Raw genomic sequence first — 17,199 nt, 5'->3', positions numbered from 1 at the left:
GGGCCAGAGAGGAAAGCAGGGAGAAACAGAGACCAGGGACCACCCTAACAGTATTTTCACCCACAGAAAGGACAGGTAGGGACAGCTGCAGCATCTCTGGGCCTCTGCACATCAAGAGGCACAGGGTCTCCAACCTAAGGCAACAGACTGCTTCCAAGGCATGACAACTAGCAAGACTGGAGCTTTTAAGAACAGGTTTCTATGGACATAACTTTCAGCGATAGGAGGGCTTGGAGGTGGATCAACCACGTGAAGTCTGGCAGAATCAAAAAAGGGCAGAAGCCAGCAGCTGCCTGGCCCTTTCCTGTGGTTAGCTACAACTGAAAGCATAATTTTCTGTGAAGCAAGCAGCTTCATGTTCTTGTGTGTATACTGAGTCATAGGACCCTTGGCTGCCAGAGGATATGAACAGAAAAATTGTTTATGCAACTAGTCTTGGGATGAGTGAATAGAATAAGAGGTTTTTGCTTCTGAGAATAAAATAACTTACTTTTGAAATATTTTGAATAAACTGCAATTATATTTGAATGCCAAATAATGAGTCGAATTATGAAAAAGAATGACTGGACCTGAATTGCTCTATGTTGAAGCCAACTTCAGAGTGTAAACAAAGTTGAAGTCAAGAAGAACTACTTACCCCGATTCACTGTAATTCCTGCATGGTTCTATTTTATAGCTACTGCGGTAGAGAAAAAAACAAAGTGAATTCAGCTTTTTAATTACCTTTGATCTGTTAGTGGGATTTGTTGCCAGTATTTAGTCAATACAAATAATCCTCCCAGGTATTTCTCCAAACAGAAAAATGGTTTGAAACTATAAGGAAAGTCAATCATCTCTTTCTTGGTTCTCTCTTCTTTTTCTGATGTGACATTCTTTCCGGTGGTTGCTTTAATGAAAATCTCAAAAAGTGGCTGAAACAAAGTTCTTGTGGAAGTTATCCATTCAGAGTTGTTAAACAGAAGTCCTTTCCTCCAGAGAGCTATTCTACTTAAAACATTATGGATTGCTTTTTCAAGTTGATGATGAGTTATATTCTGACTCAAAGGTGTGTCAAAATATAAACTTTTATTCAAATCACCTTCATAGTCACTTTTAATTCCACTGGAGGCCTCTAAAACTGTTTCTATGGTTTTCAAAAGGTTATTTGGATGCTGAGTAAATGTCATCAACACATTAGAAACATTCCAATTATCTTTCTTTAAGTTTTTCCAAAGAGCTTCTAAGGTGAGACAGATCACCATTTTCAAGAAAGATCCTATTTCTGTGCTGTTTTGTGATAATATTTTATCCAAAAAAGGGATCACTTCATGAATTATTTCCCATTTTATATCTTGAGGGCCACTATGAGTGGAAATTGGATTAGGGTATAAGAAGTCCATTTGGTTGGTGATGTTATTTATAGGAACTAAGCAACCCAGAATTTCTTCCCGTAAGTTGACAGAATCCATAGAAAATGTTTGAGTCTCATTGTTAAATGCTACCGCAAGACTCCTCATATCTTCCAAGTTCATTTTCACAGATGTTAAAAATTCAGCAATTTCTTCCAAAATATCAGAAAAGTCCTTAGATTGGTTCATATATGAGAGTATGCTAGGTGACATACTGAAAATATCAGAGTTTGATGATATATAAGGTTCTACCCCAATCATTTCAAAGGCCAAGTCAAGAAATGGCACCAACAAATCATTTATCTTTTCAAATGTGAAATGATCTATTTTTTTTAAAGTAGCTATTTCTTTCACAAGATTTTGAACACTTTGTTGCATGATGGAATACAGAGTGTCAAAGAATTTCACACTGTCCTTGGTATTGGAGATAAAATGAGTTTTAAAAACTGTGGACATCTTCCCCGAAACTTTCTTGACCAGCTTAAGAAGTTTCACAATGGAGTCCATTGATGTGGCAAGATCTCTCAGGTCAGCACTGTCATTCAACAGCATGACCAGAGTCCCAGACATTTCTAAGAGGGGTTTCAGGACGTGACTTTCTTCACTTGCTCTTGAAATAGCACCAACTAATCTCTTAGTAATTTCTAATGTTGCTCTGTTTCTTAGAGGGAATGAATTATTTATAAAGAAAAGCAAATCCGTTAGATTAGCAAGTATAACTTCTTGGAGGGTAGGATACAAAGCATAGAAGTCCTTATTAGGAGAGTGTAAAATTGTATCCAGAAGTCTTGCCATCTCTGTTGAACATTCTCTTACAAGGTGAAGAGCTGACCCAAGATCTTGATTGAGTTTGAAGAGGTCCTCAGACTTATTCACATGGAAAAACAACTGACTCACCACTGTGAAAAAGTCTATATTATTTTCAGTCTTATTTTTCATTGAAGTTTCCCTGAGAAGGGCATTAAATAAATCTTGCATGAACTTCAGTCCTTGATGAGTATCAAAATAAAATTCTCCATTGTCTAATATAAATGAACTTTTCATTAGGTGATATATAGTCTCCTTTAAACTTGAAAAAATGTTCATCAATCTGTCTTGTATCATCAGGGTAAGAAATTGATCCAGTTTCAGAATTTCTAGAATTTTATCTTTTGGGACAAAACTGTAAATATATATATATATATACTTTTAATTTAATTTTTAATACATTAACAGTGGAAATATTAAGATACATAGTGATTTATATTATTTTATTTGTTTTATAATAGCATCATGGGAAGATAATACTGAGCAAAAGATGACATGCTAAAATAATTTCAGATGAAACTCAATATTTTGTTGCCAAATAATGAAAAGAGTGAGGAATTTCATGAACAAATTCTGTTACAGTTCTTTAAACCTAGCAACTTAAAAAGCCACAAACTTTTGCTTATGAAAAAGGTTAAAAGGGCTTTTACTTAGGAAAGAAAGTAAAATGACTACAATGTGATTCTTGATGTAAGAGATAAGTGTCTGAAAAGTGGTTAGCATATTTATATTTTTCTGAGCTTTAGAAGTACTAGCAAATTGCTCAGACAGATGTATCAACATGACTAGGCTAAACAATAGCTGAAGAAGCCCCTTTCTTGTATGTTTCTCATCTGGGTGGGCTACAGGGGAGATTCTCTCATGAGAGTTCTAGGATAGATGGGAGTTATAGCCATTTTGTAATATAAGTACATCTTCTCCCAGCTATTCAATCGAACACTAACCTAGGTGTTGCTATAAAGAGATTTTGCAGATGGAGTTAAAATCCCTGATCAGTTAACTTTAAATTAGTCAGAAGGGATACTGTCCTGAGTGGGCCAGGAAAACTCTGAAAGAGGGCATAGAACCTCTGTAACTTAGAGGCACAAAACCACTGCTGGGTATTCATAGTCAGTGGCTCTCCCTTCCCCTGGTCTTCCTTCCTGACCACTGTGGACAAGGAGCTTTCACTCATGCCCGCAGCGCCCCTGCCTGCTGTGGGCGCCCCTGCCTACTGTGGGCCTCCCTTCCTGACAGTCAGCCCTACTGATTGCAGACTTACTCAGCCAGCCCCCAAAATTGTGTAAGCTGATTTCCTTGGATTAAATCCTTTGATGATTTTTGTTACTCTGCTTGAAACTTGACTAAAGCAGACATCATGGAATAAATTGGAATTTCCCTCCAGCCTTTTCACTGGCAAACTTCAAACGAGATTTTTAAAGATATATGAAAAGAAGATAATGTGATTATCAATTTTTATGTCTCTAAATGCAAATACCACAGTAGATTCATTGGGTTGAGAATACTTAAGCCCCTAGTTGGTGATTAGACAGTTAGTATAGCAATTCAAATTATGTCAATCCTGTATATGCATGTACAGCTATGAAAACTAATTTTTCAGATCCATATAAAATAGAATTCATAATTGTTTTCATAATCTAAAAATGTAAGAATAATACGTGATTAATTACCCTGGGCTGGGTTTATATTTTACTAGATGACAGTAATCAAAATTCTTTTACCTTGACATTTTGATAAAATATTTATTAAGACAAATTTACATCAAAGATCTTTCAAAGGTATTAGATACAAATACTGTTTTTGACATGTCTATACTCCAGAAAATAAAGTAGTTTGAGATATATCGCAACTGCATATATGACACAAAGCAAAAGTATACTCACCTCATCTCTGCAATAACATCTTTGTGGAAATATTTCAGCAGAAGAGATATTTTGTTCTCAGAATCTTCCTTTAGAAAAAGGGAGAAGAATGTTTTCAAAAACTGTTCTGTGAAATCTACTATGCTTCTCAGAGAGAGAACTGTTTTCCTACTAGTTTCTGACTGCATATGGTTCAAGATAAGGTTAATGAAATTCATTATTTGAAGGTCAGTATCATTTAAGTTCCAAGCTGCTTCCTGAGAATTCCCAGCTAAGTTATTGATCAAATTAATTAGGATGTTTTCAAAAAGCAGCTGAACAACTGAGAAATTAGTCAGCTGTTCTTGATTTAGCAGATGGGTAAGAAAGGCAACATCAAAATTGCCTGCTCTAGATATATTTTTTAAAGAGCCCCAAAAAGTAGCAATAGCTTTGGCTAACAAAGCTATATCTTCAGTTGAACTCTCATTGGTCACAGGAATGAATAATGTTTCTATCATTCTGGAGTAATCCTCATTTGCATATTCCTGAAGCCAGTTTTTTGTGACCAATAGAAAATCTTCAATAATTTCTAATGTCTTCAATGACGGTGAATCCAGGATTTCCAGGAAATGGGCAAACTGCAAAGTTATCTTTTGAAGAGCCATTGAATTTATACTTTTGATTCCTTTGTTCATTTCAGAAAGCAGGTGTCTGATTCTAAAATCTTGGGTTAGGTCTTTCATGATTTGTTGAAACTTGGGCCATAGTTCTTCAAAGTTGTAAGGTGTTTCACTTTTTTCAATAAAACTTGATAATGCTTCTAAACTGCTACCTGTGACATTTGCATTCTGGAGCATCATGAATAAAGAGAGTAGATTATGCGTACTTTTTTCTAGGCTCCAGTCTTCAGAAATCAATTGTACTGTCCTTTCCAAATTTGAGGAAATAATATTTTGAACAGATGTCTCTGTGTCTTCATTAATGTTAAGGATCTTGTTTAAACTACTTAGTTTGTCAAGAATATTTTCACCTGATGTAACTTTTGTAAAGTTGACATTTTTAAGTTTTTCTATGATTTGCAAAGCAACTTGCTTTATGGAACCACTAGGACAGAGTTCAGAGATGCTATCCCTAGTTTGATTTATTGAAGGTGGGACAAACGGTAATATCTTATGCCAAAATTTCTGCACAGTTTTCACAAGAGAAATGTTAACATGGAAGACTTCAGAGAGCTCCAGAAGAATAGAATTCCAGTCCACTAATTCATGAATTATGCAGACCACTTTCCTAGTTATTTCCATTCGGGAGCTTTCATTTGAACATGGTGAATCTTCACCTTGGGGAGACAGGTGGAAATGATCAAGTATACTGGCCACTTTGCCATAAAAGGAAGAAGACATGAGCCCATGGACATTGCAGGGGTCTATCTTTGAATTCTGCCGAAATCCAGAATTTGTGTGATTCCAGCACCAAACCACAGGAAAACAAGCTAAAGCCTCTGAAATAATATCTGGCTTATCTGATACTAATTCAATTGTATCCAAAAGAATTTTTATCACAATTGCGAAGTCTTCCTTGGTGATATTTGAAATGGTTATGCCATGAAGGAGTGTGAAGCTGTAGACATCCTTGAGGCCTTCAGTGATGTTTTTACCAGGTACTCCCTGCAGGAGCCTTACAGCATGAGGAAGCACATAGTACACATCTATCACAGCATCCACAACATCTTTAGGAAACAGGCGTGAGAGCTGCAGCAGATGATTAACATTCCAAGAATGTGAGCTGTCTGCAAATTTTTCCATCAAGCCAACAAGCAAATTGACCACTAAATTGCCAGTTCCCACACTACTGATATTCTTAAAGAAATCCATTAGGTTTACACTAACTTGTTCAAGCTGATCCACTAAAAGGTCTATGTCTGCCTTCTTAAGGGTACGCATGACAGAAGTTACCTTCTTCAAAGCTTGCATATAACCTGCATTTTGTGGACTAGTGTGATGAACTACAGGCATTAAGGAGTTGAACACATCCCTTATCAGTTGAATACCAAGACCTGTAGCTTTCATTATTTCAGGTGAAATTATTATTTTTGGTGAATTTTGGAGGTCATGAGATAAGCTGAAGGCAAGGTAACTAGCTAAGTGATAAATGGAATTGCCTACACTGTTTACATCCTTTTCTTTTGGACTGGTGGCAAATATGTTTAACAAGTTTTCAGTTTTAGAAGAGGAATTATTTTCCAGGATGTTAAAGTAAATACCTTTTACAAGCTTCTGAAATTCCTTCCCCAGTGTTATTAAATGAAGCCAAATATTTTGAAACTGATTAGGAATTTCATCTGACATTTCTATTGGTCTTAGAATTAATTCAGTAAAATATCTCCAATTGGACTGAGATGCAAAATCAAAGTCTGTTGTTAAGTTGTTGATACTCATCCTTACTTGCTTTGTGGAATCATTTAAAAGAGCTAATAAAATCTCAAATTTAGGTTTCTTCTCTTTTTCAAAGACTGTAGTAAGTACAATATTTAGAAAGTCAGTTACATCTTTCAAGTAAATATTGACACAATTTATATGTGAGCCATTTGATGAACAAAGAGGTTTTTTTATATTTAACACCCAAGTTACAATTTTTAATATAGAGTTCATTTTGTTTTCTATATCTCTGAAATTCCCCAAAATATTTTGAAGATGACCTTGTGAAAAACTGGAGTTAGACAACAAATACAAATGGTTTATGACATCTAACCATACAATGCATCCTTTCAGACTGCTAATTGTGTTCTCAGAGGAAAATGTGGAATTTAACGTGTCTAGAATACGTAACATCCTCTGTGAGGTATTTACATATAAAAAGCCATCTTCTAAAATACACTCAGTAACATTTTGGAAAATATCAGCACAGGAAAACAAATCTCGATCATGTGATACATTTCTAAGAAATACTATTGCTTCTCTTAGCTCAGTGATGATATTTTCAAATTTTTCTCCATAATTTGTGAGATTATTTGAAAGAAAGTCATTTATTGAATCTAGATTTCTGACTATATATTCTGAGGTACTGCTAAACTCAATGAAAACTTCAAGCAGAGAATTTAAAAACTCTCTGCTTGTACTTTCGTTGAATGGAAATGTCTTCAACTGATGCAGGGCAGCTTCCATGGTGAAAAGGGATTTCTCCACTTGCTCCAAGTTAAGTTTTTTTACTGAAACTAATGCATTACCTAAAGCTACCAAAAAATCCCTGAGATCCAGGAAGTCCTCCCAATTATGGAAGTCATTGGCTTGAGTTACATTTTTAAACAAATTTAATATGAGTCTAGCAACATTATGGGTGGGAAGTATACCCTGGCAGCTTTTAGAGACTTTCACATCATCTTCCAATTCATCCAAAAGCTGAGTGAAACCATGATGAAGAGATGTGAAAACATTCATGTCAAACTTAAATAATTGAGATATGGTTTCCCAGATTTCAGTCCACATTTGAAGCCATGAAACGGTACAGTGAATGGACATAAACTTGTTGAACACACTGACATTTGCTGAGAGGTTTGAAAAAATTTGTGCCAATGGAAAAACAAATGAAGACTCCTCACTTGTTGAATAATTTACGGAAGAAATGTGTTTATTGTCCGAAATCAAGCATTTATTATCCAATAGGTCTTCTACTGAACTGTTGAAGAATTGGCTCATATATTGAAATAAAGAAATACGAAAATCTTCATCAATTATGAGCAGCTGTTTGAGGCCTGTCAAAGTAGTGTGGATCACTTCCAGTTCTTGGCCCTCTGTAGACATGAAGGATTGGGCCTGAAGCTCCAAAAAGTTAAAAATTGAAAGCAATTGCTGACAGTAAGATACATTAGAAATTCCCCCAAGAACCTCTGCTGTCTTAAATAAAAATGCAAATGCTTTACTGATGTTTTGGAAATTAAATTGTTTTATGATATCCAAAATGTGTTTTGAGATTTGTGTAAGGAAAGTCAACGAAGAGCCTCTACTCTGAATATTCAATAATTCATAAATATATCGGTAAAATGAAGAATAAATTTGCAGAAGTAAAGCTGAATCCTTGTCCTGGAAGACATTTAGGTGTATGTGAGTCAAAATTTTATCAACTTCTTGTTTTTGTGGTTCAGAAAGGGCTGAGAAAAGATCAGATGCATTCCTGATAGCGTAGACTGTGTTCAGAGCTTCTGAGATCTGTTCCTGCTCCAAAAATCCAAATTCATGGAGACTAGTTATTATAGCCTCACTTAAACGTACAAAATCTATGTTCATAGCTGGTGATTTAGGCCAATCTGAATGGAACAACTGGGAAAAGTTAAAACTTGTACTCAGAATCTCATTTTCTGGAACAGAAAAATTTAAAAGTGTAAAGAAGTTTTCCAATTTAGCTCTTTTTCCTTTTGAAATGCCATAGGCCCATAATTCTAGTAATTTGGGATTAATTTCAAAAAGTATTAATTCTATGAATCTCAAAAGATTTTTTGGTTCCTTCCTTATCCAGTGACTTCCGAGAGTCTGCATTTTCCAAATCACTTCGTTGCCAAATTCCAAGAGTTTCTGAGCATCAGTGGCAGATGGGTCTCTCTTTAAACTTTTTAAATGATTTGTCCACAGAGAACTTATATTCAGAATATCCTCTGTGAGAGATGGGAGGCTGTGGAAACTGGGAACAATGGAGGAGTCAAAAAGATTAGGCAACAATAATTTCTCAAAAAATTCCACAAATGATAAAAGAAAGTTCATTTGTTCATCCTCAAGGGTGTGCAACTTCTTTTCCATCATTAGAAGGTGCTTTGTGAAATTTAAAGCCCTGTAATATTAATAGAATTATTTTAGTATAAAATAAAAAAATAAATTTGATTTATCAAATTTCCAAGTTAATACTCATTTATTGATAGTAAAACACAAATGAAACATTTAATAGACAACATGATTTCCAACAGAAATTAAACTAATGTGAGGATTTGAAAGTGTTTTAGAAATGCACAATGAAGTTATATATATTTAGCTTAAAATGTTTCCTACCACCAAAAAGAAAGCATTCTCAATTATTTTCCCCTGGCATATTTAACAATAATATGTATGATTATTAAAGATAAGTTTGCTATTTATGCCAGAAGAATCTTAGGATTTAATTCCATTTCAAAATGTCTTGGCATGTAAAGGTAGCACAGATAGTGGAGTGCATTAGAAACCATGCCTGTAGGGTTTCAGCAAGGTGTGGGCACTCCCAGTCCTGGAAGGCAAATTCCAGTGCTCTTTCAACAATACTATATACATCCTACTGTCAGAAACTCATTATTATATATGGGGTAGCTTATCGCCAGGTGTTTAATTTTAAAATACAGAGTTCTCAGAAGAGCAACTCAGACACTGTAAGTCCCCTCTTGTAACAGAAATCCACACTTGCAGAACTAACTTCTACTAACTCAGAACTTACAAGTCCACTTTTGACATTCTTGGGGTTACATGTGTTTCAGAATTCAGGATGTTCATCCTTTAGAAATGTAGCATGATACAGGTATCAGATATGTATTCATGCATCTCAGTGAGGGCTGGGACAGCCCTGATCATCACCGTATTAACACTTTCGCAGTGAGACCTGTGAATGATCTCGCGACGCAGGATAATACACTTGAAACTGCTTCACATCAGTTCATGATAAATCTTTGCTGAATGAGTTGTGATGTCAACCATAAGAAAAGCCTCTATTTTCAGACTTTGTAAGAGTTCAGAATTGTGGGTAAGGAATTTTTGACCTTTATTGGCTATTTATGCCTTACAGGGTAAATTACTTCCTAAGTTTTTTAACCCTCTGCTCTTGTTGTATAACACACTGTCTGACATAGGACAGACATAAGACCTATCAAAGGCAAGAATGCTGTTTACTTCCCTGATAGCTGAGACCTGAGCACCCCACACAAAAATATGGTCTTAATTTAGTTAGTTGTTATTTTTAGGACAGAATGGCTTCTTTGAAATAATTCCTAGGGAAAAAATCCCATCAGAAAAGGGAAAGTTCTATTAGGAATTCAACATAAACCTTGCCTAAATCCAGCCCTCCCTAAGAATAGATGCCTAACTACCATCCAAGTCATTGTGCCTTGATAGAGGAGAATATAAAACTTATTTGTATTGGGAACTGAGAGGGTTATGGAGTAGCAATAGAATAATAAATTGAAGTAGAAGTAGTACTACTAATAGTATTATTGCCACGTTTTTATATTACTTTAGTAATTTAGTTTATAAAGCACTTTCACAACTACTATCTTAGTTCATTCCTACAACAGCCTTTTGAAGTACACGTCATTATTTCCCTTTCATGAAAAAAGAAACTTTTTATTTTTTTAATTGACAGGTTCAAGCTGTTATTATGTGGCATGACTAGGAGACGACCCAGGTTTTGTCATTTCAAGTTCAGCTTTCTTAATATAAATTGCACTTAATGTTCAATGATTTTTCATTCATTAAATCAACATCTAATTATCTACCACTATCCATGATGAAAGACACTGTGCCAACTGCTATGGGTCCACAAATATAAAATTAAATGTGTCCTTGTGCACATATAGACTAGTTTTGTGCTGGTTTTCTAGGGCTATTAAATTTTTGAGGCTTTCAGGAAAGAGGAATTAAAAATCTGACCTAAGCAAGGAATTGATTCTCTAGAGGATCCATCCCATTGTCCTTTCTTCTGTTCCTACTAATAGCTGGGCTTAAGAAGTTCCATAGGAATGACTAATCCCCATTCTAGACAGATATAGCAGAATGGTTCTCCAACTTTGGTGTGCACTGGAACCACCTATAGAATGTGTGAAATATATAGAAACCTGGGTCCTGTACACAGAGCAAGATTTCATATGACTGGGGCAAGGTGCAGACATTTTTATTTTTAGCAGTCTTCACAGATTTAATCCATTCTCAAGTTTGAGCGTTACTGCTCTTATGCAAAACATCTCTCCCATCATGTTCCAATACACCCCACAAATAACCGAGTATACCTTTAAACTGGACACACTATTCATAACCAGACATAAAAATCTGCATTTCAATACACGTGCTGAAATAGGACAGCAGAAAATAGTCCGACAAATTTAGTTCCAAAGACCACTTCTCTCTCCCAGGAGTCTTTGAAACTAACAGAATCTATAGAATTGATTTCCTGCTTAAACTCTAGGTAACTAGCTAAGACAATTTTTCAAAACAAATACCTTATTTTTGGAGCATCTATTATAAATCATGTTATTATTGAAGGAAAATCTTCTTACTACGATCTGTATTTCCTTTCAAAATCCATTGAGTCATACATTCTATTAAACAACTTGATACTTGAGTCACACACTCTATTAAAGGAATATTTATTGAACAGCTCATATGAAAGATTGTGTCAATATCTAAATCAGGCTCATAAATTTTAAAGAGTGCATATCCTATAATTAGGTTTTGATTATCTTCAGATGATAATTAAATCAAGACCTAGAAGTTGGATTCTGATAACTTACCTGGATATGGAAGCTGTTGGAGACTTGAGTAAGTTATTCAAAAATTGAAAATAATTATCACTGATCATTTTCCAATCCATGTTTTCTTCAAAACAAGGAGATTCCTCAGGAAAAGCTAAATAAAAAGACATTTTCTACATTAATTATAAACTGGTTATAACAGACAAATCTAATAAAGTGAAAAATGCTAGAGTAGTTCACCTAATATGGTTGAAAATGTTAAAAAAAAAAAAAAAAAAAAAAAGATGAGTAGGAATCTTCTAATTTGACTTGTGCTTCCAGACAAGATGAGGTACCAGTCACTGGCCATCGAGCAATGTAATATACTGATCCATGAAAGGCAGTAAACAACAGAGCGAGACCTATGATTATCCCAGCTTGCTGCTTTAAGGGAGTCCAGGCCATGGCACAGGAAGGAGAGACTGCACCAGAGTCCAGTGGACGTGCTGAGTTGGGAAAAAGCTTAGACTCTGAAAGACAGCTAGAAACCACAGGACAGAGTGCCAGAGAAGGCTGCACAAGGCAAGGAAATTGTCAGTGTGCTTCGCTTGAGTATTCAGATGAGTAATAATCAACACAGGCATTTGAGGAAACTACCTGAGACCATGGAAGAAAACACCCAAAAGAGTTAAAGGTGTCCGGGTGTGGTGGCTCACGCCTGTAATCCCAGCACTTTGGGAGGCCGAGGCAGATGGATCACCTGAGGTCAGGAGTTTGAGACTAGCCTGGCCAACATGGTGAAACCCCATCTCTACTAAAAATACAAAAAAATTAGCCGGGTGTGGTGGTGGGCGCCTGTGATCCTAGCTACTTGGGAGGCTGAGGCAGGAGAATTGTTTGAACCCGGGAGGGGGAGATTGCAGTGAGCCAAGATCACGCCACTGCACTCCTGCCTGGGTGACAGAGCGAGACTGTCTCAAAATAAATAAATAAATAAATAATTTTTTTAAAGGATTAAAGATAACCGTTTCTGGTGCTCAGGACCAGCAATACACTTTGTTTCCATCAGCCAGACTGAAATATTCATAATTCATTAGTCATTGAGTAAAGTACAAAAAAGGGGTCTTGCTTCAGGAGTGGGAAGTATTTATCATCAAACTGAGCACTTTGCCAGTCCTGCCTAACAAATCTTAAAAACGAGATCCTAAAGAATCAAATTATTTCAAGCAATTTGTTTCAAGATTATTTATAGGCATGCAAAAATAATTAGCACAAAACAAGGTTAAAATGTGTAATATTTGGAATTCAATAAAAAATTAGCAGGCATGTAAAGAAGCAGAAAAATATGACCCATAAAGAAGAGAAAAATTAATCAATCAAAAATGACAGCAGTTTGAATGATAGAACTAGCAGAAGGGAACATTAATCACATAAAATGGTTTATGTTATTTACTTTATACTATTAGGTTGATGCAAAAGTAACTGTGGTTTTTGCTTTTAAAGGTATGATAAATTTATTTAAAAGCAATTACTTTTGCACCAACCTAATATATAATTTACATGCTCAAAAAAAGGCAAAATTTGTAAGATTGGATAAAACAAGATCCAATTGTATGCTACTTGTAAGAAATGCACTTGAAATATAAGGACATAAGTTACAAGTAAAAGGATGGAAAAGGCATACCACTCTAACACTAATCAAAAGAAAGCTATCAGACAAAGTAGGTTTCAGATGATAACATAATTATCATTTCATGATGATAAAAGTATCAATCAAGAACATATAACAATTCTAAATGTTTGTGAACATTACAACAGAGCTTCACAACACATGAAACAAAAATGAATACAAATCTAAGAAGAAATAGAAAAATGTACAATTATAGTCAAGAGATTTCAATGCTGCTCAAGACATAATATCAGTAAGGATACAGAAGATTTGTACAATACTATCAAACAACTTGATGTAATTGCTGTTTATAAAAAAATGCCACCCAACAACAACATAATACATATTCTTCTCCAGTGCATATGGAGCATTTACCAAGGTAGATCATATTCCAGACCATAAAGCAAGTCCCAATAAACTTAACAGGATTAAAGTCCTACAAAGAATGTTCACTGGTTAAAATGAAATTAAATTGGAAATCAATAACAGAAATATTTCTTGAAAATCCCAAATATTTGAAAAATAACACTTCTAAATAACTCATAGATGAAAAAAGGAATCAAAAGGAAACATAGAAAGTACTTTGAACTGAATGAAAATGAAAGTACAACATGCCAGTATTTGTGGGATGCCTCTAAAATCAGCATTTAGGGGAAAATGTATACCATTAAACACCTACATTAGAAAACAAAATGGTATCAAATTGATGACCTCATCTCCCATGCAAAGCAATTAGAAGAGTCAGTTAAACCAAAACTAAGTAGAATAAAGAAAGAAGAGTGGAAATCAAGGAAGTAAAAATAAAAACATTAGAGAAAAATGAATGAAATCAAAGGCTGGTTGTTTGAGAAGATCAATAATAAGATTGATAAGCCTCTAGGCAGAGTGATCAAGAAAAAATGGCACAAGTTATGAATATCAACTATGAGAAAGGTGCTATTACCACTGATTCTATACAAATTAAGAAGTTAATAATAGAATACAGTTTAAAAAAAATCCTTATGATACTAAATTGAACAACTTGAGTGGCCCTAATGTATATTAAAAATTGAATTTGTAATTAAATATCTTCTAATAAAAAACCCTAAAAGCCTAGATGGCTTCATTAGTGAAATCTACCAAACATTTAAGTGAGAAATAATACCCATCCAACACAAACTCTTCCAGAAAATTGAAAATAAGAGAATACTTCTGAATAATTCTATGAGGTTATGATTACCTATAAATATAAGACAAAGACAAATTTTAAAAAGACTACTAAAGACCACTGCCCCTCATAAAAACTGATGCAAAATGTTAAACAAAATTTTAACAAATTAAATCCAATAATAGATAAAAAGGTAATATATTTTGATCAAGTGGAGTTTATCTCAGTTATGCAAGGTTAATTTAACATTTAAAATAAGCAATGCAATTTACTATATGACTAGAATTTTTACAAAAACTAAATTCAAAAAAATTAAAAAGAAAAATCATCTCAATAGATGCAGAAAAACATTTGACAAATCTGACATCTATTCCTGATTAAAAGCTCTTGCCAAAGTAGGAATAAAAGAAAATTTCTCTAACCTAATAAAAAGTATCTATGAAAACCTATAGCTAACATTACACTCAATTGCCAAAGATTAAATGCGCCTCTTCCAGGATCAAGGAAAAGACAAAGATGTTACCTTCCATCATTTCTATTCCATATTATACTAGAAGTTATAGCCAGTGTAATAAGAATGAATAAAATAAATAAAAGACATACAAAAACAATTAAACCATCTTTATTCACAGATAACATGATTTATAGACAATCTGATGAAATCTATAAAAATACTAAAAAGTAAATTTAGCATGTTTGCATGATACAAGATGAATTTACAAAAATTAAATGTATATTTATATATATTTGTATGAGCAACAAATTATTGAAGATCAAAATTTTTAAGAATCAATTTACAAAAGCATTTAAAGTATTAAAATCTTAGGGATAAATCTGAAAAAAGACGTGAAAGACTTTTAGAATGAACACAACAGGATTTGTTAAGGAAAAACAAAGAAGACAAAATAAATGGAGAGATATACCATGAGCTAGAACATTGAAAATAATTAAAAAGTTAATTCTCCCTTAATTCATCTATAGACTCAATTCAATCCTGGTTAAAATTCCAGCATAATTTTGAGAAACTGACAAGCAGATTCTAAAATTCATATGGAAAGGCAAATGACCTAGAATAGTTAAAAACATTTTTTTTAAAAAAAAGAACAAAATTAAAGGTCTAACACTACCTAAATTTAAGTTTTACTGTAAAGCTATGATAACCAAGATAGTTAATTTTGGTATAAAGATGGACAAATAGAACACTGGGATAAAATACAGAGTTCAGAAGAAGACCCACTTATTTATACAACTACTTTTTGACAAAAATACAAATGTAAGTCAATGGAAAAAGAATAGCCTTCATAAAAAATTTTGCTGGAGTAATTAGGTCCCCTTATGCAAAAGTAATCATAATAAACTTCAGTATATGCCTACACCACATACAAAAATTAACACAAAATGAATTATAGACCTAAATTTAGGACATAAATCTATTAAACTCATAGAAAAAATATATAGGCAAAAATCTTTGCAACCCTGTGAGTTAGCAAAGGTTTCTTAGCTACAACACCAAAAGCAGGATCTATTAAGAAAACAAACAAAAAAAATAAACAAAATATCATCAAAATTAAAATGTTTCTCCTGGATTACTTTGTTAAGAAGAATGAAAAGACAGTCCAGAGGCCAGGAGGAAATATTTGCAAAGCGTATGTCTGATAAAGAGTTTGTATCCTGTATATACAGGAAAATTATAAACTAAATAATAAACAAATAACCCAATTTAAAAAGTGGGAAAGATTTGAATATACAATTTATGAACAAAAATACAGATGACATAGAAGTCCATGAAAAGATAGGTGTTCAAAATTATTACTCATATAAACGAATTAAATCCATAATAGCATACAACTACACATCTATTGGAATGACTAAAATTTAAAAGACTGATCATACCAAGTGTTGGTAAGGAAGTGGAGGTATTTTAACTCTCATGCACTGCCAATGGGAGTGTAAAAGGGTACAATGACTTTAAAAAACAGTTTGTGAATTTTGTAAAAGGCTAAGCATACAACTCCCACATAATCAAAACATTTCAATTTTAAGGAAAAGAAAGTATATTTCCAAACAAGACTTGTCCGTGAATGTTCACAGCAGCTTTACTTGTAAAGCCAGAAAGAGTCAGCAACCAAATTGTGAATTGTGTGAATGGATTGACAAACTGTGATACATCCATATGATGGAATAGTACTCAGTGATAAAAGGACTGAACACACTACAACATGAATGAATCTCACACTAATTAATGCTAATTAATTATGCTAAGTAAAATAAGTTAGACAAAAAAGTACATACTGCATATGTCCATTTATAAAAATCTCTACAAAATGAAAACTCAAATACAGTGACAGAAAGCAGAGCAATGGTAGCCTGGTGACAGGGCAGGAAGCCGGAATTGACAATAGAGAAGAAGCTTTTGGGAGTGATGAAGACTTTCACTGTCTTAATTGTGATTACAGTTTTATGGATATATGTATATGTCAACATGGATGTGATTACTACACATTGCATGCCTGTATGAAAATATCTCATGTTACTCATAAATATACATGCCTACTATGTATCCATAAAAATTAAAAAATTTAAAAAGCTCAACAGTATCAAATAATTTTTTAAACAAAATAGGTAAATAAAATCTTCCATATCAAATTCCCTGGCCATTAGTTGTAATGCCTTAAAATTTTGACACTCATTTCGGTGAGGAAGAAAAGGGTACTAATATTAATTGCATGTGCCTACGATACTGTGCTAAGCATTTTAGAAACATCATTTTATTTAATCTTCATAAGAACTCAGTAAAGAAAACTATGTAAATTTTTATTTTACCAAGGGTAAAAGTAATTAAGAATCTGTGTCAAATGCAATGTTTGCTACCAAGTCCATCTGCTTCCAAAACC

At 33.9% G+C, this 17,199-nt stretch overlaps 1 protein-coding gene across 29 annotated transcripts in view; it reads right to left on the bottom strand.

The window, feature by feature from the left end:
• ABCA13 (ATP binding cassette subfamily A member 13) overlaps positions 1 to 17,199 on the bottom strand; it is a 476,040-nt gene that overhangs the window by 366,854 nt on the left and 91,987 nt on the right. For all 29 annotated transcript variants that reach the window (XR_926914.3, XR_926915.3, XR_926919.3 and 26 more), the window contains 3 exons: positions 11,550 to 11,664; positions 4,079 to 8,857; positions 724 to 2,550 (listed from right to left, as the gene is read on the bottom strand). Coding sequence is in view for 26 of the 29 variants with exons in the window: in XM_011515130.3 (XP_011513432.1) it covers positions 724 to 2,550; positions 4,079 to 8,857; positions 11,550 to 11,664 (6,721 nt within the window). In the remaining 3 variants the exon portion in view is untranslated. The remainder of the gene's footprint in view (positions 1 to 723; positions 2,551 to 4,078; positions 8,858 to 11,549; positions 11,665 to 17,199) is intronic.

This window comes from Homo sapiens, chromosome 7, assembly GCF_000001405.40.
Source record: "Homo sapiens chromosome 7, GRCh38.p14 Primary Assembly".
Lineage (NCBI taxonomy): Eukaryota > Metazoa > Chordata > Mammalia > Primates > Hominidae > Homo > Homo sapiens.
The sequence above is the reverse complement of the archived record's forward strand: the minus strand, read 5'-3'. Positions and strand labels throughout refer to the sequence as shown.